The 27,004-nt window shown below is 38.7% G+C and overlaps 1 protein-coding gene across 16 annotated transcripts in view, besides 2 other annotated features; it reads right to left on the bottom strand.

Annotated features, from left to right (window-relative positions):
- Positions 1–27,004, bottom strand: part of NTNG1 (netrin G1) — a 344,836-nt gene that overhangs the window by 10,156 nt on the left and 307,676 nt on the right. The window lies entirely within an intron of this gene.
- Positions 23,057–23,116: an enhancer, noted in NCBI's record as "active region_1419". NCBI's record gives its function as "activates an Ori minimal core promoter by ATAC-STARR-seq in GM12878 lymphoblastoid cells {active_cell/tissue: GM12878}" and the evidence as "EXISTENCE:reporter gene assay evidence [ECO:0000049][PMID:35858748]".
- Positions 23,477–23,736: an enhancer, noted in NCBI's record as "active region_1418". NCBI's record gives its function as "activates an Ori minimal core promoter by ATAC-STARR-seq in GM12878 lymphoblastoid cells {active_cell/tissue: GM12878}" and the evidence as "EXISTENCE:reporter gene assay evidence [ECO:0000049][PMID:35858748]".

Here is a 27,004-nt window from a genome sequence, read left to right as displayed (position 1 = left end):
TGGGGTGGGCTGACCCTTTCTTTTCCTCTTTCTCTCTCTGCCCTTCAATCATGTGATGCCTTCTGCCATGTTATGGTGCAACAAGAAGGCCATTACAAGATGTGAGCCCCTTGATCTTGGGCTTGTCAGCCTCCAGAATTGTGAGTTGATAAACTTCTATTCATTATAAATTACCCAGTGTGTGGTATTCTGTTATAGTGCATAAAATGGAATAAGTCAGAAATACAGCTAGTTAATCATGGGACTCTCTTGCACTGAACTTCAAATGCTTCTCAACACAAGTTTCCAGGCATCCACCATGAGTTGATAGTACTGGCATGAGGATAAACACCCATTTACAATCCTGGCATTATCTCACATAATCCTGCATATAGTTGCAAATTAAAGATCCAAGTGAAAATTTCTACCCAACAGGCATCTTTCAGTGATCACACTTTTTACTTGGTGCCCTGCTCTGTGGGTTTACCTCAGACTGAAAACTCTAAACTTATTCTGTGGGTGTATTCATTTTAAGCATGTCCCAACTCTCTCTTTATTGTTATTGACAGTCTTAGAGTGTCCTATGTCAGTAAACAGAAAGGTTCATTTTAAAATCCTTATACAACACTTGATCCAGTGCTGGATGCAAATAGTTATTTGCTAGACAGATTTCTTTTTGTGATAGTAAAATATGATCCTTAGATACCAGAAAAACTAATACTGCTTTGGTAATAGCTTGACTGTATTCTAAAGGATTCCTTTTCGTATTGATAAATATAATTCATTTATGGAGTATCCAATATCACATACTATAATCCTCTGATGTTTTGATATTAGGAATGATTTCAAATGGAGTGACCAAGATAATTTGTGGAATTTGACAGATAAGGTTAGAGTATTAATGTTAGATTCAAACAGAGTTACGTGGCCAAAAGATGAAGTGTGGAAACCTGGTGGAAAAGCTGAAGTCAGCAAGGTGTTGTAACAGCTCTGATCATAGCTTTAGCAAGCAAGCCACAAGGTAGATAAACAAGCTCTCACAATTGCCATGAGTTTACAAAAACATTTAGAATTTCCACAGTGAAAGAACTGATCAAGCAGCATTTCTTCCTCTCTTACTTCTATCTATTTTTCTTGCACCATCTTGGATGAGGAGCGACACAGGGATATAGCTAAATTATTTAATTCTTTCATTTTTTTGGTGGGTTTCTTGATTGTCACATACATTTCCTCTTCTCAAACTGCAATCTACTGTCAAATGTGACTTACGAGACCTTGATTCCTTTCCCCTCTATGAGTTCTTTCTGGAAGGTATGGAAAAACTGACCACAGATGGACTCCTTATGCTCAGAGGGTATTAGCCAGGACTTGGTGTTGCCACTTGTTCTATTCTTTTATCTTTTATGAGCTGAGGGGTCACTTGTTCCCCTAAGGTCATGATGATCCATTCCACTACCAAAGGGAAGTTTTCTTTTCTCTGGGTTTTGTTCAACGTTATACATTTAGGTTCATGCTGTCAGTGAGCTGCTATGCTTGAGCAATGCTGGGTCTGTATTTATAGACTTGAAAGTTTCTCTTTTTGGCTTTGTCTCCTGCACTTCAAGGAATCAATGTAATGCGTTACCATGACAGCTTTTCTTGATGGTTGTATTAATAAAGTGACCTCTACCTTTACCACCTGAAACAAGCCCAGGATTGCTGAGAGAAAGATGTTCCAAATTGTTCCCGTCCTTTTCAAAGAAACATCAAAGAGTGAATAACCTCCACCAAACAGGCTAATAACAAAGGTATGTGGGCTACATTCAGGTCTGATTTAGGCATTCGAGACTGTGTGGCAGGGAGTTGAAGAGCTGTGATTATGACCCATTTATACAGCTTTTGCAGCTGTTTTGCTAAGTTGTGATATGTGAGATGGAAAACTGAACCTACAGGTTAGCTCCTGGGCCATGGAAGAAACTTTATAGATTGTTATCTAATCACTTTTTGTTGTTGTGGTTGGAATTCTAGGTACACTAACTGCAATCCATCCCCGCCCCACAAAAAAACAAAACAAAACAAAAAAAAACCTTTTTTCTTCCCCGACCTTATGGTCTGGTCTGGTCTGGCCATGAGGGGTAGTATGGTGCAAAGGGAAAACACATTGGCTGAGCGTCATAAAACTGGAAAACCTGAGATCTGGGTCTCACTAGTCATCCATTTACGACAAGGCCTTGGACATACTATGCAACTATTTAGTGACACTCATCCATGCGTTTGTCCAACATCCACCCAGGCACTGCTCTGGATGGTGGCCATATTTTGGTAAGCCAGACCCACAGTGGAGCTGCACATGAGGGGCTTGTATTCTAGTTGCAGCTGTAAAGTTAGGCTACAGGTTACAGGTTTGAAGTCGGTATTTCTAAAGTTTTCTCAAGTTTTATGATTTGCATGAATATTTTTAATGGAAAGCCTATCATTTTGAAGGCAAAGTGTTAGAAATCCCTCCCCTTCTTGACCAAATATATGATGATGGATGGTCTTGTGTAATAGAGTCCTTGGTGATGACTTAGGTGACTGTTTCTGTTTGATCTGTTTTGGTTCAGTCTTATCTGCTGCCCCATGGAACAGGGATAGTTTTTTCCCTCATACGCACTAAAAGCATGAGGTAGTATAAAGAGAATTAGGCTCAGATTCTGTGATTCAAGTCTCATCCCTGTAGTTAATGGGCTGAGTGAACTTGGGGAAATCACTTAACCTCTTTGTGCCTTTCTTCACTTCACAAGCAGGATAATAACACTTGTCCTATTTACCCACCTAATAGTTGTTGGTAGCCTCAAGATGAATTATGTGGAGGTGCTCTAAAAAAATATAAAACACAACCTAAGTATACTTTGTTAAAGTTCAATTTCTTCCTCAATCCACCCAGTGCTAGAAGCTCAGGATGGAAGAATGAGGTGCTAATTCCTATCTCTGCCAGAATAATGAATTAAACACTACTTATCCAATCCAAGCTACTTGAAGTATAAAAGGAAGCAAATGTCCTTCCTCAAAGACAGCATCTGTGCATGTCTTCTGCTAGTATGAAACTTGAGCAAGCATGGGGTCAAAACATGCAATTCTCAAATATTTGTATTCAACTACTGCATATTCTACAAAGCCTTGCAAGGTCACCTTAGGGTGGCAGTGCCCATTTTCTCAAAGACGACTTCTATATTCTCATTCAATGTGCACTCTCCTGTATCAATCAGAGCACATAAATAAGCTGTGTTTCCAGAGTAGCAGGGAGGGGCTGAGCTGGAGACCCTCAACCTGCATCTACTGCTCCATAGCCCACCTTTTGTCTTTTGCAATGTTGATGGTGTAGGGGGCCAGGGGAGGTACGGATGCAAACAACAGACTGAAACCTGGTAGACTCATGTGAAAATGCCCTTGCTTTCCTGCTTTTAATTTACACTCAAGTTTGTCTGTATGCATCTGAAGACAGTGGTACTTCGGTGGCGAGACTCTGTGTGACAGCATCCGACCTACTTGGTTTCAGCATAATGAACCCAAGGGTCAGAGCTGAAGTTGCTATAGGGAACAATGTGGAAGCTGTTGGCTGGGTGGTTGGACACATGTAGGTAATCAAGGACTGCAAGTTCTGACCCTAGGGAGTAGCCATTCTATTCTTACTCATCTAATATTAAAGCACCTGTTATGAGAGTGACACTTTCTTTTGCCAAACCATAGAAAAAACTGCTTAAAACACCATTAAAGAGCCTCACTCATTTAGAAGGAGACCATTCTGCAGTTCACAGTATCCTGGCTAGCATGAAAGAGGTGACAGGTGACTCTGATGCAGGAGCAGGAGGCCCTGCCCAAACATCCCTAAAATTTTTGGCCTTTGCAACCTGAAAAAAAGCCTTTGCTGATATCGAGAAAGAATTAATTTACTGAGAATCCTACAAGCTGAAGGCTGGGCACCTCTCCCAAAGTGATCATTAATGATGTATTGAAATCCTATTTAGGTCAACACCTTCAGACACAGACACAGACAAGGTTCTCATAAAAATGGTGCTGAGAAGTCACAGACTTTCTCATCAGGTATCAGAAAATGCACTTGTCTAGTTTAATAAGAGTTGCAACCTCTACTCTTAGCTGAAGGTGAAAGATGGAATTCATGGGGAGGCATATTCACACAAAATGGCAACACATATCAGGGTAAAAATCATCGTTTCAAAGTACATGGCATTGTGCCAGGATGAAAGGCAGATACAAAATGTTTATCCAGCATAATCTCCATAAGTACAGACATGTAACTCTACACATACCTGTGTAATATAAACCTTAGCAAAAATACTACAATCAATTGTACCAAAATGTGAACAGTGTTTATTTATAGCTGGTAGGAGTGCAATAAACTTTAGTAATTTTAATTTTCATCTTTATACTTTTCACTCTTTCCAAATTGCCTAGAATATAGTCCTTTGGTGATATTAAAAATGTTAATAAAATAAATTGCTGGGTTTTTTTTAGAAATATGTGTCTTTTACTTAGATAATAAAGGTAATTCAGTTAAGAAATGAATTATGTAATCACATTTTATCAAATTTCAGTATTTGTGTTACTAATACATATTTCTAGTAGGACTACCAATTATCTCAGAAAAGGCATGAGTTTCTACACAATCCCATAACCATGAAGGGGTCTTAGACTTGATTCCTTGGCTTGCCAATGACTCCACAGCCTCAGATGTGAATGGAACCATCAGAGCTTCCTGAGCTAAAGGGATCTGCAACCCAACGGATGACCATCTTGTTGGTAATTAGTAGAGACTGGTGCTAAATGAGTGGACATTTTTACATTTGTAGATTGAGCCACAGTGACAGTTGGCTGAATATCTCACCACCTTTCTAGTAGAGGGGATCAAAGTTGAATTTAAACTAATTAAAAAAAAAAACTATTTCTGCCCTTGTACGTACCTGCACTACATCTTTTACCTGTTTATTGTTGCTGTCATTAGTATTCAGCACTGTCCCTGGCATGGAATAGATGCTAAATAAATAATAAACAAATAAGCTAGGCGTGGTGGCTCACGCCTGTAATCCCAGCACTTTGAGAGGCCGAGGCAGGAGGGTCACTTGAGCTCAGGAGTTCAAGACCAGCCAACATGGTCGAACCCAGGCTCTATTAAAAATACCAAAAAATTAGCTGGGCATGGTGGGGAGGTTGAAGCAGGAGAATTGCTTGAACCTGGGAGACGGAGGTTGCATTGAGTTGACATTGTGCCACTGCACTCCAGCCTGGGAGACAGAGAGAGACTCTGACTCAAAAAATACAATACAATAAAATAAGATAAAATAAAATAAATAAAATTTTGTTGTATGCCTGTTTCCGAATGGTGGATGTCTGTCTATTATTAGTAGCTAGCTAGCTGAAAGGGAAAATTATTTGGCAGGGAATGGGAGAGGGAGCTAACTAACACATGGAAAACTTGCTGAGCAGCTTTGACTTGCCAACTCAGGTTGGATACCATGATTGTCAAAGATTCCCATACACATGGTTTGATAATGGAAGCATGAACAGGAAGAGAATGGTGACTTGTATTAAGTCATTCTTCATGAAACAATATACACTTGGGGAAAAGATGGAAGAGAGGAGAAGCAGCAAGGATGATTGCTTTGAAATAAAAGATCAGGAACGCTCCTTTCGTTGTTTTTTTTTTTTTTTTTTGAAATGGAGTTTTGATCCTGTCACCCAGGCTGGAGTGCAGTGGCATGATAATGGCTCACTGCAACCTCCGCCTCCCGGGATTCAAGCGATTCTCCTGCTTCAGCCTCCTGAGTAGCTGGGATTATAGGCGCGCGCCACCACTCCTAGCTAATTTTTGTAGTTTTAGTAGAGACAGGGTTTCACCATGTTGGTCAGGCTGGTCTCAAACTCCTGACCTCATGATCCGCCCACCTTGGCCTCCCAAAGTGCTGGGATTACAGGCGTGAGCCACCACACCCGGCCTTCCTATCATTTTTCATTAAGCAAAATGTATTAGCTCTTATTATAATCTGGGCATTGCTAGCAACACAAAGGTGAAAACAACATGGCCCTGAAGACCTGAAGGATCTCAGTGACTTTTTTTATTTAATTGAGAAGGTGATTAGTTAACTTTGGAACATAGGGTAAAGGAAAATCCACATGGAGCTGTTCTTTGTGGGAGTACAGCCGAGGTGAGAAACCATTATGGGAACATAGAAGAACTCAAGTAAAAGGATTTGGTGTTCTTTGAAATGATGTTGGAATTATGAAAGACAATCTTTCCAACCCCATACAGTGCTGAAGACAAATTTGTAAAACATTCTACATTCTGGCTAGGAGGTAGGAAAATACTACAGGCCTTTGATATCCCAGCATTAAGAAATGCAAGTATCTGCAGCCGAAAGGAGATAATTGTGTCATCAATTCAAATACGCGTTTTTTTAAAAGGCAGAATTTCAATGCCTTTGAGCACTTTGTAAAGCTAAAATATAATTTGAGGTTCCTGTTTGTCAAGCTATAGCCAAACGTCTCCTTAGAGACTTAATTTTTCCTATACATACTTGGTAGGAGTGTTCTAAATATGGTCTAAGCCCTCTTAGGATTTTTAAACAGCAGGGATATTTAAGTATGAAAAATAGCTACTAAAATCACACAGCGGTAACTTTTCTTAATGATTTTTTTTTCCAGGGAATCGCTGTAATTCACTCTTGTCTGCTGTGGCCTTGCTGTCACCATAACCACCCCCTGACAATGTCAAACCAAGTCTTGGGAGGTGATTTTATAATGTCAGGATGAAACAAAGCCATTTCCCTGTTAATGCCAATGTCAAGGCAAAATGAATTGGTGTCAATAAATTCAAGGTGAGGAAAACAACATTATGGAATCACGAGAATGTGCAAAATGATGACAGGAGCCATTTAGGGATGCCTGATTCCAAGTAAAAATGACTGCTAATTTTCAAAAGTATATTTGCTACTGCACTGGAGACCAAACATTTAAATTTCTTAAAATACATCAGCAAGGCTAAGAAAGGACAAAGAGGTTAAGATTATAGACAAGTCATAGCATACCTTTTCAATGAAGTTGATGCTGACTATTGTAACTCACATTGTCTTTCCCACTTACAAATTCCTGAGACACTCAAAATTTGAACCACAAAGTTTAGTACTTGATCATTTACTGTGGTGGTGTCCAGAAGTCTGGATTTCAATACTGACATTACCACGCATGGCTCTGCAATCTGGATTTCTGAGCCTCTATTTCTTCATCTGTAAAAGAGGCCACTTCACAGGGCTGTTGTGAACATGAGAGGTCATTCAACTCAATGATTGTTATTAAGTGCTTTGTAAGTGCCAGGCACTGCTCAAAGTCCTACAATAAAAGATAGACTGTCAGAGTCACAGAAATGGTAATTGTTAATATAGGTTCATGCTTTTTATGTTTCATTAGGTAATGAAGTTTCACATAGTGCATACTCCTGTGTCTTCTAGTTCACTTTTATCATTAGCAATTTCTAGCTTAATGAATACTTGTCAATTTGAAAAAAATCATCGTTCACTCCTACAATTTCTTGGATGAATCAATAGCTGCTTACCTCTTGAAAAGATCTATTTGTTAATTTTTCTTTAATGATGAGAAAAATAAACAAGAGCTCTTATTAAAAAAAAAAGTTTAGGTAAAGACAGTGACTTTAGACAAGCTCATGAGTAACATTAAGTAATTCTGTGCAACATAACTTTTACTAAAGCCAAACTTCAAACATGAGGCAGAAAGAGGATGTACTGAGTTCTTTCCTAATATCCAGAGGAATCCTTTCTTCATTGGTTAAGAAAAAGGTATTTGAGTGAGAACAGATCTGCTTAGTGGACCTGAAAAGGGGGGAAATTAAGTCATTACGGGCATGCAGAAGGGTATTTTACAGCTTTTCGAAGAAGAGCAAGGCTGTTGTGTCTCAGGAGAGAGGTAAGATACTTAAACCAAAATCAGAGTCTGGCAAAAAATGTGTGGAAGCTATGCCTTCAGGGACTTTCAGATCCAGCAGCAGAGAGAAAAAATTTATGAATTGGTTTGGATACAACTGGGAGGCTATGCATGGTATTTAAAACACAGGGAAAAGATGTTAGAGCTTCTCTTTGAAGCAGACTAAGACATACCCAGGTTAGATTAAGCAGTGATGAAAAAGACTTGGGTGGACTTGTTAAAGACTAATCACATGACGTGCTTTAAAATATCTTGTCCTAACACATTTCACTTTCCTCGACATTTCTTACTCTATTTTCTGAAGATATGTACTTTTATATGAATAGGGAGTTATTCTAGAATAAAAGCTCCATGAAGATAAGAATTTTGACTGCTTTCTTCTTTGCTGAGTGTGCAATGCCTAGAACAGTGCTTGAGAACAAACTGTACTCAATGAATATGAGTATTTTGAGTGAATGAATAAATGAATTTCATAGAAAAAATGACATATTCCATATCCATTGCTTCCTCTTTACTTCTGAAATAGCTTCTCAACTGTGTCTATTTTATATCCCCTAAATTAAATTGCACAGACATGCTACAGCCAGATGGGGCTTCCTCACAAAGAGTTTACACAATACTTCTCACTCATTCTCTCCCTCACAATCTTCCATGGCTCCCCACTGCTAACTGCAAATACTGTAGTCAGGACCTCCCAACAGTGTGTTCAGAATCTCCCCACTGCTAACTGCAAATACTATAGTCAGGACCTCCCAACAGTGTGTTCAGAATCTCCCCATCATGTGCTTTTACTCCACAACATGAAATGTCTACTCCTGGATCATATACTTACTGTCTTAAACTTACATACCACCTTCCCACACACATATGCACACACACACAATTAAAATTAACACGTTATAATTAAAAGGCCAGAAACATTTACATCTGTTATCTAATTGAATATATCTAATAATCTGGTACATAGGTATTATTGTTATTATTATTACTTCAATTGTATGGGAGACCTGTGGATCTTACATAAGTCCTCCTGGCGACTGAGCAGCAGAGGCAGGATCAGAGCTGAAGTCTTTCTGTTTGCAAAGCACTGTCCATGTTCTCCCTGGTCCCTGGACTGCCACATGCCTGCCCCTGTAGAGGTGTCTCTGCTCCAGATATGTCCTTCCCTAAACTCTCCACCCATTCTTTAAGATCTTGCTCATGGACAACCCCCACCATGGAAATTTATTTCTGTGAGTGTTTAAGCCTTCAGATACTATCCTTCCTTTGAAGCCTTATGGCAGATGATCTAGATAAAGATATAGACATAGATAGAAATGTAAGCTTTATATGACTCTGCAAAATCTACAACAAACACTCCTTTTCCATGTGCATTTCTTGTCTCCTCAACCAAAATACAAGCACTCTGAGGGCAGGCCATTGTCTTGCACCTCCTCTCATTGTCCACACAGAACAGTATGGTGCATGACAGAGCAGTCCGTCTATAAGCACTATTCCTTAAAGGTAGTAGACACCTTTTTCATCTTTATAGCCTCAGATATCTATTTTATCTTTGAATCCTAAGCATCCATTTTTTTTCTGGCACCTAACGGGATTCTCAATGATTTCTTTTCCAATGATGATTTTTCACGTGGCTTCTGCATTTCTAAGGTCATGGAAGGATTCAGTAATTCCTGAGACTGTAATTGGAAATAACCTGGGTTTTCATTAACGCCTCCAAGTACTGGTTTCAAAAAAGTCCCTTTGTTAGCAGTTTTTAAAACTTTGTGCTTCTGTTTCTTGTATTGTGGTGAGAAGGGCAGTAGAGGGAGATAAAGAGGACAGAGAAGGAGGGGGAATGTGGGGTTGGGCCGACCTGGAGAGAAACACCACATAAGCCTATGGAGAGACGTGGGGCCCATCCTTCCCTGTGGGCATCTCAGCTCTGCTTGTTTAGGGGTAGGAATCACATTTAAACTTTAAAACCTTCAAAGTATTAAACTAAAACTGTATCTTGGATTTAGCTTCTTGTATCAGAGTGATGAATGAATCTCACGGACTTCCCATAAAAAGGTGCAGGAGGGTGGAAGGCAGATTCTCCACCTATTGCACTCCCATTACCATTCGAACTTGGCCTGAGGCTGAAGCTAAGACCTGCATGGACAAACACTTTTCTTGTCACTGGATGTGCTGCTGCTTGGTATGCTGTCTGACCTCACTTGGATCACTTCATTTGGTTTTATCTTCCAGGGTTCTAATTGTTTTTCACTTGTTGTTCCGTGCAAGCCTCTTGGTTAATCTAAAGGTCTTTGCTCCCATTCACCCTTCGTTCCGTAGGTTCCTGCCACCTGTCACTGCTGCGCTAGCCCCTTCATATATGTCTGAGTTACTCATTTCCATGCTGGGCTTGCTTTTTACACCTGGGGCCCCAACTAGGCAAATCTTTTGAACATCCCTTCAGCCTATCAGGATCTGTTTCAGGCTGGTCTCTGTCCTGCTTAATCGGGCAATTCTTTTGTGCTAACGATGTGACTGATTATCCATCTTTAGGCTTGTCAAATCTACCTATAAAGTTTAAATACTGTAGTCTAAAGGCCAAGGCTATGGCTGGCCTGGCTTTAACAAGACAAAGCAAAGCAGTTTATTCACAGATTGCGAAGAAAGAAAAGATTCACAAGATGGGCAACAAGGTTTTTTTAAGGGTGTAAAGCTGATGCCCCTATTTATGTTAACTAAAGGGGAAGAAACACACAACTCAAAGGATATTGAATTAAGGGCAAGGTCATTACATCAGACTTGAATACTGAAGCCTTCATCCTAACTGCCACTAATTGCTTTTAATTTTTAGTAAATGATTATTAGATGCCTCCTTTTTATATAGTCTAGGAAATAAATTATATATTTTCAAAATAACCTCAAACCCCCCAAATCCACCAAATGAAAATGTATCTAAAAGTGAATACATTGCATTTTTCTGTATTTTTAGGGTCACACATGCTGATTTTTAGGGTCACTGTTGATATGAAGAAGAAATAAGGACTATAATTTAGTAAACATATGGAAATGACTCCTAAGGACATAATCAGGGCTCTTGCCTTATATAGACTGGTGAGTAAACTGAAAAAAAATCTTGCAAGCCACAAGTACATTTTGGTTCTCAATAATTTGCTGACAAAAACTCTTACATTTTCTTTTGATGTAATGCTTAAATAGCTAAAAATGCTTTAGTTAATATTATAGATTATTCATTTTCTATTTTAAATTTATTGCTTTATTTTTCTGGGAACAAGTGAAAAAAAAAAACCAAGGTTATTATGGAATGAAATTGTGTCTTATTTTTTTCTAGCATTACATAACTAATAAGATGAAAATTTTGACAATTCAGCCAGTAAAGAATTACACCAAAATCTCAGGATAAATGGATTTTTATGACCAAGTTATAAACGACATGATACAGATTGAGTTTACAATGTTAACGTCAATAGATTCTTAACTATATTGCCAAGAGCAATAAAGTGAGAATAATGGGAAAGATTGGATGACCACTTGAAAAAGGAAAGGATTTTCAGTGATTTCCAACCTTTATCAGTTAATTTCCTAAGAAGCACATAACGAATTCATGTTGATGATGAGTACTTGCCTAATGACATCCAAATACATGATCAATACATACTAACTAGACTAGGAATCTAGCACAGAACATTCCTAACTGGAAGTTAGTCAAGGCACAATGAAAATCTCAGCTGACATGAGGAAAGGGAGGGGAGAAACCTACTTTCCTGGTTTGTTTGATAGTGCAGCCAAGAGTCCATTGGAGGTAGGCTGGTATAGTTTGTCTCTTCCCCACTGTATGGGAGAAATTGCAAGGATTGTGGAGTCACACAGATCTAGAGTCCCATCTTGTATCCTCAACTCATTAGCTGTGGGGCGTTGGCAAATCAAGTGACCTCCCTGAGCCTTGGCTTCTGCATCTATAAAACAGGCACAGCATGTTTTCACTGTAAGGCAGTTTTGAAGATGAGAATAGGTACCAACAAATAAAAATCTTACCAACAAATGGTAACTCTGTTGATTATAGAGAGGTCTAAATGAGATATATATGAAACATCTGGCAAACAGTAAGAACTTCTTAAATGTTAGTTCCTTTTCTCCTTAGAAGAGATATTTAAAAACAACAACAAAAAGCCTCTACATAGTTTGGCTTCCTGTTTGGGAAATTAAAGGAAAAGCACATGTTGATACGCCATTAAATGTATCACATTTGGTGGTGGAAGGTGAGGTTTAAATTAAAACAGGATAATAATAGTAACAAAAGCGAACATCTATTTATTGAGGACTTGGTCTCCTATCAGGCATTTTTCCAAGTGCTTTTCATGCACTGGTTAATCCTTTTAACAATCTTACAAGGAAAGACCTTTTAAGAGTTTGACAGGTGAAGAAACCAAGACTTGAGGAGGGTAAATAGTCTCTCTAAGGTCACACAGGTAGTGGGTAGCAGAGCCTGTAACCCACCCAATTCTGTGAGCTTAATTACTTTGCTATTTTTCCTGATCATTATGTTCTGTTCGAGGTCTATATGCTGGAATGCTGTGAATGCTATTACTTTTGCCCTTGTTTCTTTCTCCACGAAACAGAAACTGGTAGGAACCATTATTACAAGGCATCCATGTGGCAAGGGCAATAGAAAACAGAAAAAGTGCATCCTTGCTTCAGACCACCTGAAAATTTAGATTTAACACTTTTTCAGCAAAGGCAGGCAGAGACTACGACAGATCCCAAATCCATCTATTTTCATTATCTGCGTTGCTCCTAATGGTCCAAGCCACTAACACCCCTTACCTGGTCTACTGTAATCCTGCTAATTACAAACCTTGCCCTTTCCTTCTTGCCCCTGCTTGCAATCCATTGTCCACACAGTAGCCAGAGTTATTTTTTAATTTAAACTCCTATATCATGGCACGCCTCTGCTCAAGGCCCAGGGAACTTGGAATAGAATCCATGTCTCTAGGCCAGGCGCGGTGGCTCACACCTGTAATCCCAGCACTTTGGGAGGCTGAGGTGGGCAGTTCACGAGGTCAAGAGATCAAGAACATCCTGGCCAACATGGTGAAACCCTGTCTTTACTAAAATACAATAAATTAGCTGGGCATGGTGGTGCACACCTGTAGTTCCAGCTACTCAGGAGGCTGAGGCAGGGGAATCGCTTGAACCCGGGAGGCAGAGGTTGCAGTGAGCCGAGACTGTGCCACTCCAGCCTGGAGACAGAGCAAGACTCCGTCTCAAAAGAAAAAAAAAAGAAAAAAAAAAGAAAAAAAGAGAATCCATATCTCTAGTGTTGGCCTTCAAGGATGGGTGATCTGGTGTTTATCTTCCTCTTCGCATCTCAGACCACCTCTCCCTCATCAGCACCCTCCAGCCATACTTGCTTCCTTCCATTTTCTGAACTGGCCCAGCTCCTTCCTGCCTTTCAGCTTTTGCAGGAATTGTCTCCTCCGCCTGGAACACTCTTCCTCCAGAACTTTCCATGGTGGGGTCTCCTTAATACTTGGATCTCAGCTGAAGTACTCCCTTCTCAGAAAGACCTTCAATGACTATTCAGTCTACAGTGGTCTTTGCCCACTGTTTATTTCTTTCCCTGTTTTCCATGTGCCTCCCACCAGTGTATGAGCTCCTTGAGAGCAGGGTCTATGTATGTCTTCTTAACACAGTATACTCAATATCCAGAGCAGTGGCTGGTATAGAATTCACGCTTTTTACACATGTATTGAATAAATTAAAGCCTTCTCTGTCTTGTTTCACCCAGCATCCATCCTTTAAGGGCCTAAAAATAGGCCAGGGATAATGGATTTTGTGGAGACTGTCCTGGCTGGGATGGATTTTAATTGGTCTCTTACCCTAGGATTAGAGAAATTCTTCTGACCTTCTGGGCTCTAAGACCCGATGACAACTACTGAACACCATTAGCAGCCCAGTACACGGGGCTGCCAGACCCTCTAGAGTTAAATATCTCAGAATGTGTCACAGCAGTGTTGTTTTATGCAGCCTTGCTCCAGGGGAATATTATGCACTTGGCAATCCAGCAGCAAATTCCCCTCAGAGAAAGGATCATTCCTCATGATGGATGGACAGTTTCCAGCATCAGTTTTCACAGCTAGGCTACCTCCTAATTTCCAGTTTGGTATAAAAGTGAAAGCTGAAGGATGTACTGCTGTCAAAAAAAAGAAGCTATCGAATAATTACAGCTATTATTTCACATAGAGCTGCCTTTTTCCCCAGCAGTGCAGCCAAGTTGCTGTGAATATAAATATTCGTAAGAAGTCAATATTAAACCATGGGCCATAGAGGAAATAATTTCATTTCCTAAATAGAAAACTATTGGATTTCTTTGTGAGATTTAATTGCCAAAGTTTTCCCAAAGTGTAAAATCTGTCCTGCCTGGTAAAATATTATCTGTGAGGGCTCAGAAGGAAAGCTGAGGAGAAATGAGCTCACCTCTTTCTGACAGTAAGAGCAGAGGAGCGATGTCATGGTAAATGAGGCTACTAAAGACCTGGGAGTGCGCTCATGATGAACTGTCAGTTCGGCACTGTGCAGGCCATGGTTTGATGGCATTGCACCGGGGCATGAGCTGAGTTTCATGAAGCTCACGACGAGAACCCAGACTAACCATCTGTGACTCTGAAACTCTGCCCTTGAGGAAACGGGCCTTAGCTTGCATGCTCGTTGCACTGAGAACTGTTTTCTAGAGGTTTTCCTTTCCTGACAAAGCAAATTATTTTCTAATCTTATCTTAATATTTTAAAGAAAAGGAAAAGAACAAAGTGAGAAATTAGGCGAAAAAAAAGAGAGCCACAATTGTACTTTTATACTTCAAAAGTTCATTTGCTCTCCCTGAGTGTACATGGGACTAGTTGGAAAGTTGAGGGATACTGAATTGTGATTTAAATTTCCCCACTGGAAAATCCACAAGCAAATAATTTGCCCTAGGAGTACCCGGCTGGCTCCATCTTAAAATGCTGCTATGAATGCTTGTGTTAAAACATTCCAAAACCGTGTATTGGGACAGCTCGTTTGAGCAACGTTCTAGGTTAAAGTGCTCTATTCTGAAGGTGTTTTAACAAACTCTCTCCTGCTGGTGTCCTGCTAGCATCAATGCATAATAAATTTTGTCAGGAGAAATCAGTGGTGATGCTGCTAAGTCCTCCCCCAACCTGTAAAGAATCATTAATCTTGACTGCAAATAATTCCAAATGACTTGAATGAATAGAAATAAGCTCAAATTGAATTGAAAATACATTTTTTTTTCTTTTGGCAACTTTTTATTTTTTACCCCTGCCTTTTTTTCCTCCCCCATCTTCTCTTTCTGTTCTTTAGGCTGACATCTCTGTATACTGGCAAGGGTATTTTCAAAGACTCTCCAACAGCTGTGAATGCAGAGAACAGGATCTTCTGAAAGTATGTATTCTATTTTCAGGCTGAATGAATAGCATAACCTGAAGCTAGTGGCCTTTATGTTAGGAAAGCAAAACAAAACACAACAGAACCTGAGTTTTACAAAGGATATATGAATAAAGTTATCCTAGGTTTAGGACTCAAATAAAATTAAAGGCAATTTCTCTCTCTCTCTTTTTGAACAATATGCATATATGTCTTTGCAAAGTTACAAAAGAGGAAAAGCAATGAACTAATTTAACTTTTTCCTCTTTGATATACTTCAGGTAATAATAGATAGTGTGAACCTAAGCTATATCAAAATCCAGTAATGCCATTTTTCAGTGGTAAAAGATAATGATAAAAATAAAATAAAATAAAAAACAATACATATGGAAAATGACTTTAAAACAGCATTTAGAAAGTTCAACTTTCTAAACTGTTTTGATCCCTTCTGAGATTGTAGGAAGTAGAACGAAACAAGGCAAACATTAAGTTATATTCCTTACAAGAAAACAATGTTTCCAATTTGAAAATGAAGTTCACATCCAGCAAATAGGACACCAGATACAGAAAATCTACAGAAATTGGCATGACAAATTTGGCCTACCAATTTTTGTATGCAAAAATGATATGCCAAGGAACTATCATATGGAAAGCAGTAATTATGGTATTATGGTAATGGTAATTAATGGTAAGACATTACATGTTTTTCTTCTTCTTTTCCTGAGTTGCTCAGCTTCAAAAAGGCCATCAGGTTAATTTTTGAATAATTGTTTCATGAATATTGTTAATCTGTGAATTAACTGAATTTGCAGGACTTTAAAAAGGAAGCAGTGCACACTTTGCTCATTTCTGTCCATGTCTCAAATGATACCTATTTTTTAATTTTAAGCCAGATGGTCAATGAAGGCAGTGACCTTAGTAATAGCCAATGTAATTACCTACTTTATTTTCACTGAAATTGAAACTTCATTGAAAATAATTTTGCCTCTCAGTTTATTTATGGTGAAAAGTGCTTTTTACCTTTTGAACTTTAAGATTACTGGGCTAAATTTAATGGATAGAGATCTCCTTTAATCGCCTCTAATGGCTTCAGAGTAGGCTGGAGTTAAATTTAAAATGATATAGAGTTCTTTTGCTTCCCCCGGATTGGCAGTTCCTAATTTTAGAAGATTGCCACTGGAGTAGTATAACAGTGGAACTCATGTGTCATCCCCATTAATCTGACTAATAGATTTAAAGTAAGGGGATTTTGGATCAGCTTTTTATTGTTCTGTGTGTTTTAATATTTGACATTAGGCATATGGTGAATTACACTTCCAAACTTTTAGATGCGAACATGTTGGAATTGAATATATCTGCACTTGGGCTATTAGAGCAAATGAGAGCAACTTTTAATGGGAAACAGCCTTTTTCTCTAACATGATGGCTAAAAACACACCATGCTGAGGACGGGCTCATTCTCTAATATCTCTAACTAAGGAAGCTGGGATATACAAATTAAAAATGTCTTCAGAAAAATTTCCTTACAGTACTCATAACACAAAAAGCCCCCCAAAATTTATGTGCTTTTTCTTAGATGTTACGGCAAAGTATTAGATTCATAATTTTCTAATACATTAGGAGGCAAACACATCCCCACACTACAAACTCATAAGTCTACTGGCATAAATAATTTATTCCAGTGGCTTATGTATGATTCAAACTGTAATATTTATAAAAGAATGTGGCAATTTTCTTGTTATAAAAAACTTAAAAAATAAATTATTATTAAAAAATGCATAAGATTTTCTAGATCATTAATAAAAGGAAAACAATCCCACCCCCAAAAAATCTATTTGTCTTAGAGCATTACATGAATATTGGATAGACACATATATGTTTTAATTTAGCATGATATGAGACAATATTCCCAAGTTCCATATTAATTGAGCATAATCACACAATCAACATAACTGTGTTGGATGAATGCTCATATCTGTATATCTATAGCACTGAGCACAGTGCCATGCACATGGGTAAATGTAAAAGGTGCAAATGGAATTCTAATGCATTGCCTCTAGACTTTTCCAAATATGTACTGCTCTTTTAAGCTGAAGTATTGGATTGGGGATTTAGTACCAAAAGAGCCAGAAATTCATACTACAAAATAAGCTGAATGATAGGTGTATGGTGTTTACTTTGTATTTGGATGATGTCTACTGGCTTTTATTTCTCTCCAAGAGTGATTTCTTAATGAAGGAGAACAGACTGGGACAATTGTATATTTTTACACCTAATGCAGCACAGAAAAGGTTGCATTGGCCAGGCAAGCCTGAGGTTTGAGATTTGTATTTTCTTCAGATAATATAACCTAGTTGTACTAGTGGTTATAATCATGATAGAATAAAAAGGAAGCCATTTCTTACATGTGTGGATGGTGTTGTGCTTCATTTCTGCAGAAGAATTATTAATTCATCAGTATATTGATTTATATGACACAACACTCCAAATATATAATTCCATGGACCTAAGACCTGGCATTCCAGTATGGCCTTATGGAGAAAGATTTTATGACAGAGTATCTGGTAATAATGGTCCTTCTAAGCACAAATGTCATCCAACTTGGGGACTGAGGTCTTGCATCACGTTACATAAGCAACAATATTGCATTGCATAGCCAGACAAAGGTCTTTGTGGACAAACATGAAACCAAATGGAAACACTAGCTCTGACTTCCCTACTTGCTACCCAATACTTTAACCTACTTTCAGAGTCAAGGATTAAATAAGATGTAGTGTGGTATCTGCAGCCACATCAAAGGCTATTCTAAAATCCAGCTAGGAGTATTGATAAGCGAGCAGGCCTACCAAGGGTTCTACTTGATTCTGGTGGGAGCTCTGAGAGAGGCATGGCTGATTTATCTGAGTGGGAGTAATCCTCCAATACTACAGTCTCTGGGATTAGGCATGGACCTACAAGAGACTCCAAAATCAGATAGCATGAGACAGAACTTGCTCATGCTGTGTACAAATCCCACTCTCTCTTCAAAAGATTAAAAGTAGGAATGTAGACATCTTCTTAGCATCTAAGGGCCTTCATTTTGTTAAACCCAGCTAGCTCACAGCCAAGTGAGCCTTTGGCTTATCAGACCAGGGTTGAAGGGTGTCAAGTCTTCCTATGCATCACTTTATTATCTTACTACTCACTTTAAAAAGATCCATCCATGCAATTTAAAGCCCCAAGTGATTCCAGGATGCTTTTCACTGCTCCTTCACGGCCTTTGTCTTTCATTGCTCATCCCTCTTGGCATGTAATGGTTTTCTGTTTCTAAGATGAAATGACCTGCCTCCCATCATCATAGGACACTGTGTTATGACCTGGGGAATCGTTCTATCCCTTCTCGAAATGGGTGCATCCTTTCAAACCTCTTCAGGGATTATTTCGTGGCACCTCTCCATGTTTTCAAAGATCCTGTTTTTAGGATGTGCAATCACTATATTGAGCTATCTCTACTTTTCCTCATACACCATTTTAGAAGGAATGACAGGCACAGGACATGGAGCTGAGACAGGGTGTCTGCTACTGGCAGCTAATGATTTGATGATGAAGAGAATTCTTACCATTCCTGTCTCCGGGGCAACAGAGGCAGCCTGACCATGTAGCACTGACACGACAGCATGAAAGTTGCTACCACAGTAAAAGGCTCATCCGCGTATTGTTCTTGTCATGCTCTCCAGTGCTGTCACCTCATTTCACAGAAATGGCTGCAGTGCAACAGCAGTTACCTTCCATCTCACCACAGAGCTGTGGAGTAGAGTCACTTTGTGGTTGCCCTGCCTGTCTGAGAATATTGGGCTCTCAGAGCGAGTCAGGCATTTATTACTTTTTACGCACACTAACACAGCTGTTGAAGAAGAACAAGCCTGCTGCTTTGGAAAAGATGGGCACCTTCCTGCTTCCAGCATCCAACCCTCAGGTTCACTTGATCCTGAGCACCACATTAGGCTACTGGACAACACTGTGCATAATGACTTTTTATTGCTTTTTAAAGTCACCATGGGCTGGGCGTGGTGGCTCACGCCTGTAATCCCAGCACTTTGGGAGGCTGAGGCGGGAAGATCACTGGAGGTCAGGAGTTCGACACCAGCCTGACCAACATGGTGAAACCCCGTCTCCACTAAAAATACAAAAATTAGCCGGGCATGGTGGCACATGCCTGTAATCCCAGCTACTTGGGAGGCTGAGGCAGGAGAATCACTTGAACCTGGGAGGTGGAGGTTGTAATGAGCTGAGATCGCCCCATTGCACTCCAGCCTGGGCGACAAAAGCAAATCTCAGTCTCAGAAAAAAAAAAAAAAAATAGTCACCATGTGAGTGACTAATGTTCAAGAGTCTTCCTCATTCTTGCCTCTGCTTCCCTACAAGGCTTACCACAGAGTTGGCACAGCACTGTGCTCACACGTAGCACCTGAACGATGAATGTATGTTGGTGTGGGGTGGAGAGGAAGAGAGCTGGGTTTGAGCCTCATTCATTTCTCTTCTAAATTCCTGACCTCAAATGTGCTTCACCTCTGTAAGCTTGGTTTCCTTATCTGTAAGAAGCAAAAAATGGTATCTTCTATTATAGGGATATTGCAAAGATCAGATAAAATGATGCGAAGAGCCTGCCATGATGATGATGTTGGAATAAGGTTACCTCTTTTTCATATATGATCCAGTGACTAAATAGATGATAGCTATTTATGCATGCTATTTCCTCCTTTGGGTATTAATTAGTGAAGTGACATGGGGTCTGCTTATTGGGCCACAGTTTGATGTTTATTTATCTAAATTTTTGACAGGTTTGAGGAATTGGTCAGAGTGATTTTTTTTTTTTGGTAAAAAGACACAGGATATTTGGCTTGAATTGCATCATTTGCATCCTTGGAATGAAAGCCCGTTGTTTCCGTTAACATCTTAGGCCTATGAGAATGGGTAGGGACTATGTCTCAGCAGTGTCTACTTTACGGCAGGGTCTCTCCTCTGCATGCAAGTAAACACTGTCCTTGTGAGCTGGTAATCTGAGTATAACTTGCTTGTGCAAAGTATGCATGGGTGCAATAGTTGTTGATTCTGAGAAATAAATTCACTGCACACAGAGGGCAGTGAACAAACATTTGTTCCTGATAAATGATAAACAGATAGTGAGAGAGAATTGGTAAGCCTTGTCAGTCACTGCTTGCTTTTATCCTAAAGTCTCTTTCTCTGTTGTGTGGTATTGTTTGTGTTTACCAACACTCCCATTAATGAGTACTGAGGGCTGTTTTCATTTCACTGAAAGCAAACTGATCCTGTAGCTGGGCTGTGGTCCAATATTAGAACACTGCAAGTTCCTATTACCCTCCTGGTTCTAAAGGAGGGTTGGGCTTGAGGTGGGTTTATTTTGGACCTATCACAGTGAGTTGGTGTGGCATGTGGGGCAAGGAGTCAAATCTGTATTTTGATTTTATAATAGCTCTATCAGCTACTAGTTGTTTGCTTTGAGCATATTAAGTTCTCTGAGACTCAGTTTCCTCATCTCTAAAATGAGTATATTAGCACTCCTTTGCAGGGTTATTGGAAGAATAAATAAAGTAACATGTGTGAAATGTCCAAGCATACTGATGGCACAAAGTGTGTTTATTACTGAAATAATTTTAAATTTAGTTTAATTTATAAAGTGGTTACAACATGAGAGTTTTTATGTGTAAGAGTCTAGCCCACTTCCCTACATGGCATCCACTTTCCTCTTTATTAAAGTCATGGCAGTTTGAAAAGAAAGACGTAGTCAGCAGGAAAATCTTAAGTACATTGTAGAAGAAATCCAGGCTTATGCTGGACCGAAGAAACCCCCTGGGAGGCTTTGGTCATGATCTCTATTCATATTTTCAAACACACTCTTCAGTAAGTAATGCACACTCTTGTAGCTGGAAACTAGATACCTGCTGAGGGAAAGAAAAGATCCCCAGTGAACTACTGTCTTCTCTTAAAATGAAATGCGTTTGTAGTGTCCTTTTTGACTGTCAGTTTCTGGATGAAGTTTTAGATGAAAATCCATATCCTAGAGGAACATTATTTTCTGTACTAGTGTTAAAGTTGGAGCTAGGAATAGGTGGTGCTTTGCCTTCTTGATGAAAAAGAAGTATAAGACTTCCTTTGCCTCCACATTTATTAACAAACTTGAAGTTTACTGTGCTGCTTTACAAAAAAAATAAAATTCTAATTTGAAGTCAGACACAAGAGAAAATTCTTTCTTTCACTAAAACAAAGGATTAATGCTGACCACTGTTGAGACACCGAACAGTCTCAGTGTCACTGAACATTCAGGAAAGTAAGCCACAGTGAATGGAAGATCCATACTCTGCCTCAGCATACTCAGAGGGAATCCTGAGCAATGCTGGGGGCCTCAGGCACTCTCTAGAAGTTAGTTACCTCCTTAGGGCCAAGGAATGAGACCAGGGATTGTCACGTACCTCCTCAGTAAAGGATGGACTTTCAATTCTTTATACTTCTACTCCCCATTTGTTTTAGTCCATTTTGCGTTGCTATAGCAGAATACCTGAGACTGGGTGATTTATAAAGAAAAGAATTTTATTTAGCTTATGGTTCTCCAGGCTGGGAAGTTCAAGGGCATGATGCTGGTTTCTGGAAAAGGTATTCCTGCTTCATTGTATCATGGCAGAGAAGGTCAAAGGGGAAGCAGACACTTGGAAAGAAAGAAAACCCAAGGGGCATCCTGCCTTTATACCAACCCATTATCAAGGGAACTAATCCATTCCCATGAGAATTAATCCAGTCTCACCAGAAGGAGGACTCACTCACTACCACTAGAATGCACTAGTAGCCATTCATGAGGGATCTACCCCCATGACCCAAACACCTCCCTGTAGGCCCCACTTCCCAATACTACCACAGTGGGGATCAAATTTCAATACAAGTTTCTGTGGGGACAAACTCAAGCTCTATTTATACCATAGTGCCACTGAATTTCAGAGTTTTAAGGAATCCATAGTAAGTGTACTGTCCACCATCCAAGACTTCCCATGTTTCCTTGATAGACACACATAATTTACTGCTTTGTCAAATACTCTGTAAAAACCCAAATTTATGATCAGAATTTCCATTTACAGGTTTAGTGGCTCATTGACAGATGAAAATCCTTCCCAGCACTTCATCAAGGTTATCTACCACCACTTGATTATAGTACAGTAATACCAATAATAGCTGTAATTTATGGAGGTTATTTTACTGCAGATGTTGTGCTTAGTAGTTTACAAGCATTTCATTTAATTCCATAACAACCCCAATGAGGTGTAATAATATTTTTTTAGAGAAGTGAAATCTTAGGTCAGAGAAGTTATATAATTTTTTCAACAAGACACACTTAGTAAGTGGCAGAGCCAGGATTCAAACCACTACATAAGAGACAGCTACTGAGCTGGAATAGACCTTAGAGTTTTCAGTTTCCTTTCACAACCAGAGCCATTAGGAGTTCTCTAAGTACTCTGGACAGGAAACTTTGGTTTCACTCTACGATTTCACGTTTTACTACAATCTCAAGTTTAGCAACATCCTTAAGGCATGGGCTGTGTTAAACTTGTTTTCTATCTTATATGGTACCTATGATGTTGCAGGATTCAAACAGTCAATAAATGTTTGGTTGCTGATTAATGAACCTCTCAAACCAAGGTCTCTCTTCCTACCATACTCCTTCAGAGTGGTATTCTTACACTGTTTCTCTCTCTCCTGGGGGTTCTTCACTCAACATCTAGCTGCAACGACTAATACATTCATGTCAAAACATAAAATAATACACTGATATAGTGTGTAGGAGGACAGCACTTTACAAATGCAGACGAAACCAAGATGGCTGACCCCTGACAATGAGTCCATGCAGTGTGCTGCCGATGACAGTCACACTTACAGTCTCTTTACTCTGTGGAGGTTATGTTTCCTTCTCATTTTTACATTTTTGGTTAACCGTGTTAGGGCTGCAGAAGTATTAACTCATCCTCTGTTCCTCAGTGCCTTTTAGTTTACTAGGAAAATTCAGCCTTACTTTTTCAAGGGCAGTGTGACATGTGGTGAAATTGTTAATCATACTATTTTTAAAAAATCTTTTTACAGGAATAAACAACCTTATTCTCTTCAAAGTTAGAGTCTCAATGTTAGTCTTTCTAGCATAAAAAGAGAAACCTTAACTTTGCTGAAAAATAGCACATAGCATGAACTTGCTAAGAATAGCCAAATAACCCCGTGGAAAGTCCCCTGAGGAGTTCTAAAAAAAAAAAAAAAAGAAAGAAAGAAAGAAAAAAGGGAATTGAGAATTGAGGAACTGAATGCTTGTTTCAGACATACAAACCCCTAAGGGTATTAACAGTCACCAAGCTGATAATAGTTAAGTATCCAGTAGGTCTGATGGTGACTCTATGAATTGTGACTGCCCAGTAATCACTCCTGGATAACTGGTTTCTGCCCAGGTAGAGAACCCCACTTAGTTTTTGGTCTGTTTAGAGGTCACCATAATTCAAGACCCTTCCAGTAGGCAGGTATTTTAGCATTACAGGGTAATTTCCAGGATTTAGGATGATCCTAAAATTGATGAAGAATTGCTGCTAAGGTTGGGATGAATTTAATGAATACAACTTATCAGAGGTTGCTTTATTTTGCTATTTGGAACCTGTAAGACTAAATGGCATTGATTTTGGACAAAATCTTAACTTAAAATTCACGTTTACAGATGGTAATTAGTATTTGAAACGACCACAGAAAAAGACATAATAGGTATTAAATCCCATAATTTTGTAGCCTTCTTTTTTTTTCCGGGAAGGAGCCATGATTATCATAGCTTTCGTTTTATTATGTCATTTGTTTGTAAATTGATTTCTTAAATTTGTTAATCCATTCCTCACCATTTTCAATGAAACTCTGAGGATGGGTACCATCATTTATAGTTTTATTATCTTACTGCGTGCCCATACTCTGACAGAAACTGGGTTAAACATTTTAATTCATTGTGTTATTTAATTCTCATGGATAGTGATGTGGGTCCAATTCTTATCTTCATTTTACATGCACAAACTGAGGCTGAGGCTGCATTTTTCAACACTAAATATTTGTCTGTGCAACAATAACAGACATATACTGCTAGCTGTTTCTAATTCTATAAGAATTTAGGCACATTAGCTTAGGTTGCAAATATTACATTTGGTTTCATTATCTTTAAAATTCTGTCGTTGTCCAAAATGTTCTTGCTTCTTTATCCCAAGACTTTAAAAATTAACAGGTGTTAATATATTTTTCTAGTTCTATTCACTTTTAAAAACATAACTGAACATAAACAGGAATTCTTGAAGAAACAGGATAAACCTATCAGTAGGAATAAAGCAGTCATACATTTTTCTTTATACCTACTTGCTTTCTACCTGTCTAGAAATATTTTATCAAGACAAGTATGCAATGAGGAAGTTGGTTTTAAAAAATGGTAATTGGGAACCTGGTAAAATATATTTCAGTGCAATGCTAATCATGTGTGTCAAGATAAAGGAAATTAAGGTAGCTTAAGTTTTCAGTTCTTTTCAGAAAAATCAATTATAAAGCAGTTACGCTGCTGACACTAAACAATAAATCCCTGGATTTAGTTAATAGAAAAAGCTTCCACTTTTTGAAGGTTTTTTTTTTTTTAATCCAGCAGAAGAAGCTCATAACATTGATTTTTGAGGAAAAAAGCAAGGACTCTTTAAGTCAGGTATTTTTAAATCCAGACATATTCTTGGTCTTAGCCTGTTGGGATCAGAAATCACTGACCATCTAGGGAACATGTCTTTATAAAGCTTCCCACAGTCCGCAGTGCTCTTGGCATTAGTTACCTTGAAGTCTAACTAGGAGTGGCAAACTGGAGGCCAGCTTGCATCTCACTTGGGGTTCTGAATATCCTGAGTCAATTCACGGCTGGATTAAATCTCTCCGAAAATGTATAATTGCTAAATATGTAGTCCTCAATCCTGGCTGCATGTTATCCTCACCTAGGGAGTTTTGTAAAATACAGATGCCTGGAGCCCACCCCCAGAGAATCACACTTAAGAAGGTTGGAGTGGGGCCAGCGATTACTATTTCATTTCAATCTCAATTAACCTTTATATAGTCACCGAGATGTCCCCTGTCTTGTCACTTTCTAGTTTTGGATGATTAGGATCTTGCTGTCATTCTTTCCGTTTTGTTCTCATAAAACCAATGACACAAAGGTTAGCCACTGAGAAAGAAAGTTTTTCAACAAGTACAGTTCTGCTCATCTCTTTTCAAATAAGCAATTAATAATTCATAACAATTAACTGAGTTATGAGTTTCTCTTTCAATATGTTTCCAAACATGAATAGATTAAATGGTAATTGCCATCAAATTTTATGTTCTCTTTCATGTGCCCAATAGAAGTTTATCTTTTGGAGCTCACTTTGTATTTCCTTTTGATATATTCATAACCAAATGCAATATACTATATTAAAATATTTATTATTAACCTATCAAATATTAACCACTTTTAAATTGTAGGGATGAAAGAAAACAAATAGGCTACTTGTTTAAGTTTTCATGGTTTTTCTTATTTTAATATGATTTGGATTCGTAGAATACATAAAAATTGATGGCGTGAGATACTATTTGAGTTCCTGCCCCTTATATAAAATGTTCCAAGGTGTATGTATGCCCTTGACTTCCCAGCCACCATTATTTTATAAACACAAAGTGATAAAAAGCAACAACAAAACTTCTTGGGCTTGAGTCAGTTTATCCTAGTTAAAACCTTCATTTGTTATCCAGTCCTCTGCTTCTCAAACTTCACTGTGCATATGAATCACCTGGAGATCTTATTAAAATGCAGATCAGTAAGTCTGCAGGTGGGTCTATGATTCTGCATTTCCAACAAATTCCCAAGTGATGCTGATCATACCCATTGAGGGATCACACTTTTAAGTTGCAAGGATCTATACAACTTTGTGCAGATTACTTAAGCCTCTCTGGGCCTCAGTCCATTCATCATCTGTTAAATGGGGATAACTGCCAATGGGGTTTATAATTGGCAAGACTATAAATGGCTTGGCATAGTGCCTGGTACATGACAAGCATATAATTAATAGTGTCCATTGTCATTACTACTACATATTAATAAGGAGAGCTGATTTATGACTTAAATGAGTGGCTAAACCAGAACATTGTTAAGGTTCCTGCTCAGATATCAAATTCTATGGTTATAAGTCAGAGATAACTATGATCAGAAAAGCAAGCTAGAAAAGTGGTACTGGAAGTCAATCGTCTCAGATTTTGACAAGAGGAAGGTACTGTTAGACTGGAGACCCCTCTTGAACCGTGGCCCTTGGATGGCAGGAATCCCATTTATCTTCTAGTGCCAAAACTTAGCACAATGTCTGGCACATACTGGGACTTCAATATTTGTTAAATAAATGATTTGTGAATTAATGAATGAAAATATAAGTGAATGTGTGATTGAATAAAAGGTGAATGCTTTGGGCAATGTGATAGCCAGGCCAGTTTGCTAGGAAGGATAATTTAAAAGGTTTAGCAAGGCTCTGTTAAGAAGCTCCTTCTGTCACCTTGGCTAAATTAAATTCAGTAACCAAAGATGAAA

This window comes from Homo sapiens, chromosome 1 (genome assembly GCF_000001405.40).
Source record: "Homo sapiens chromosome 1, GRCh38.p14 Primary Assembly".
In the NCBI taxonomy this organism is placed as follows: Eukaryota; Metazoa; Chordata; class Mammalia; order Primates; family Hominidae; genus Homo; species Homo sapiens.
This window is presented reverse-complemented; position numbering and strand designations above follow the sequence as displayed.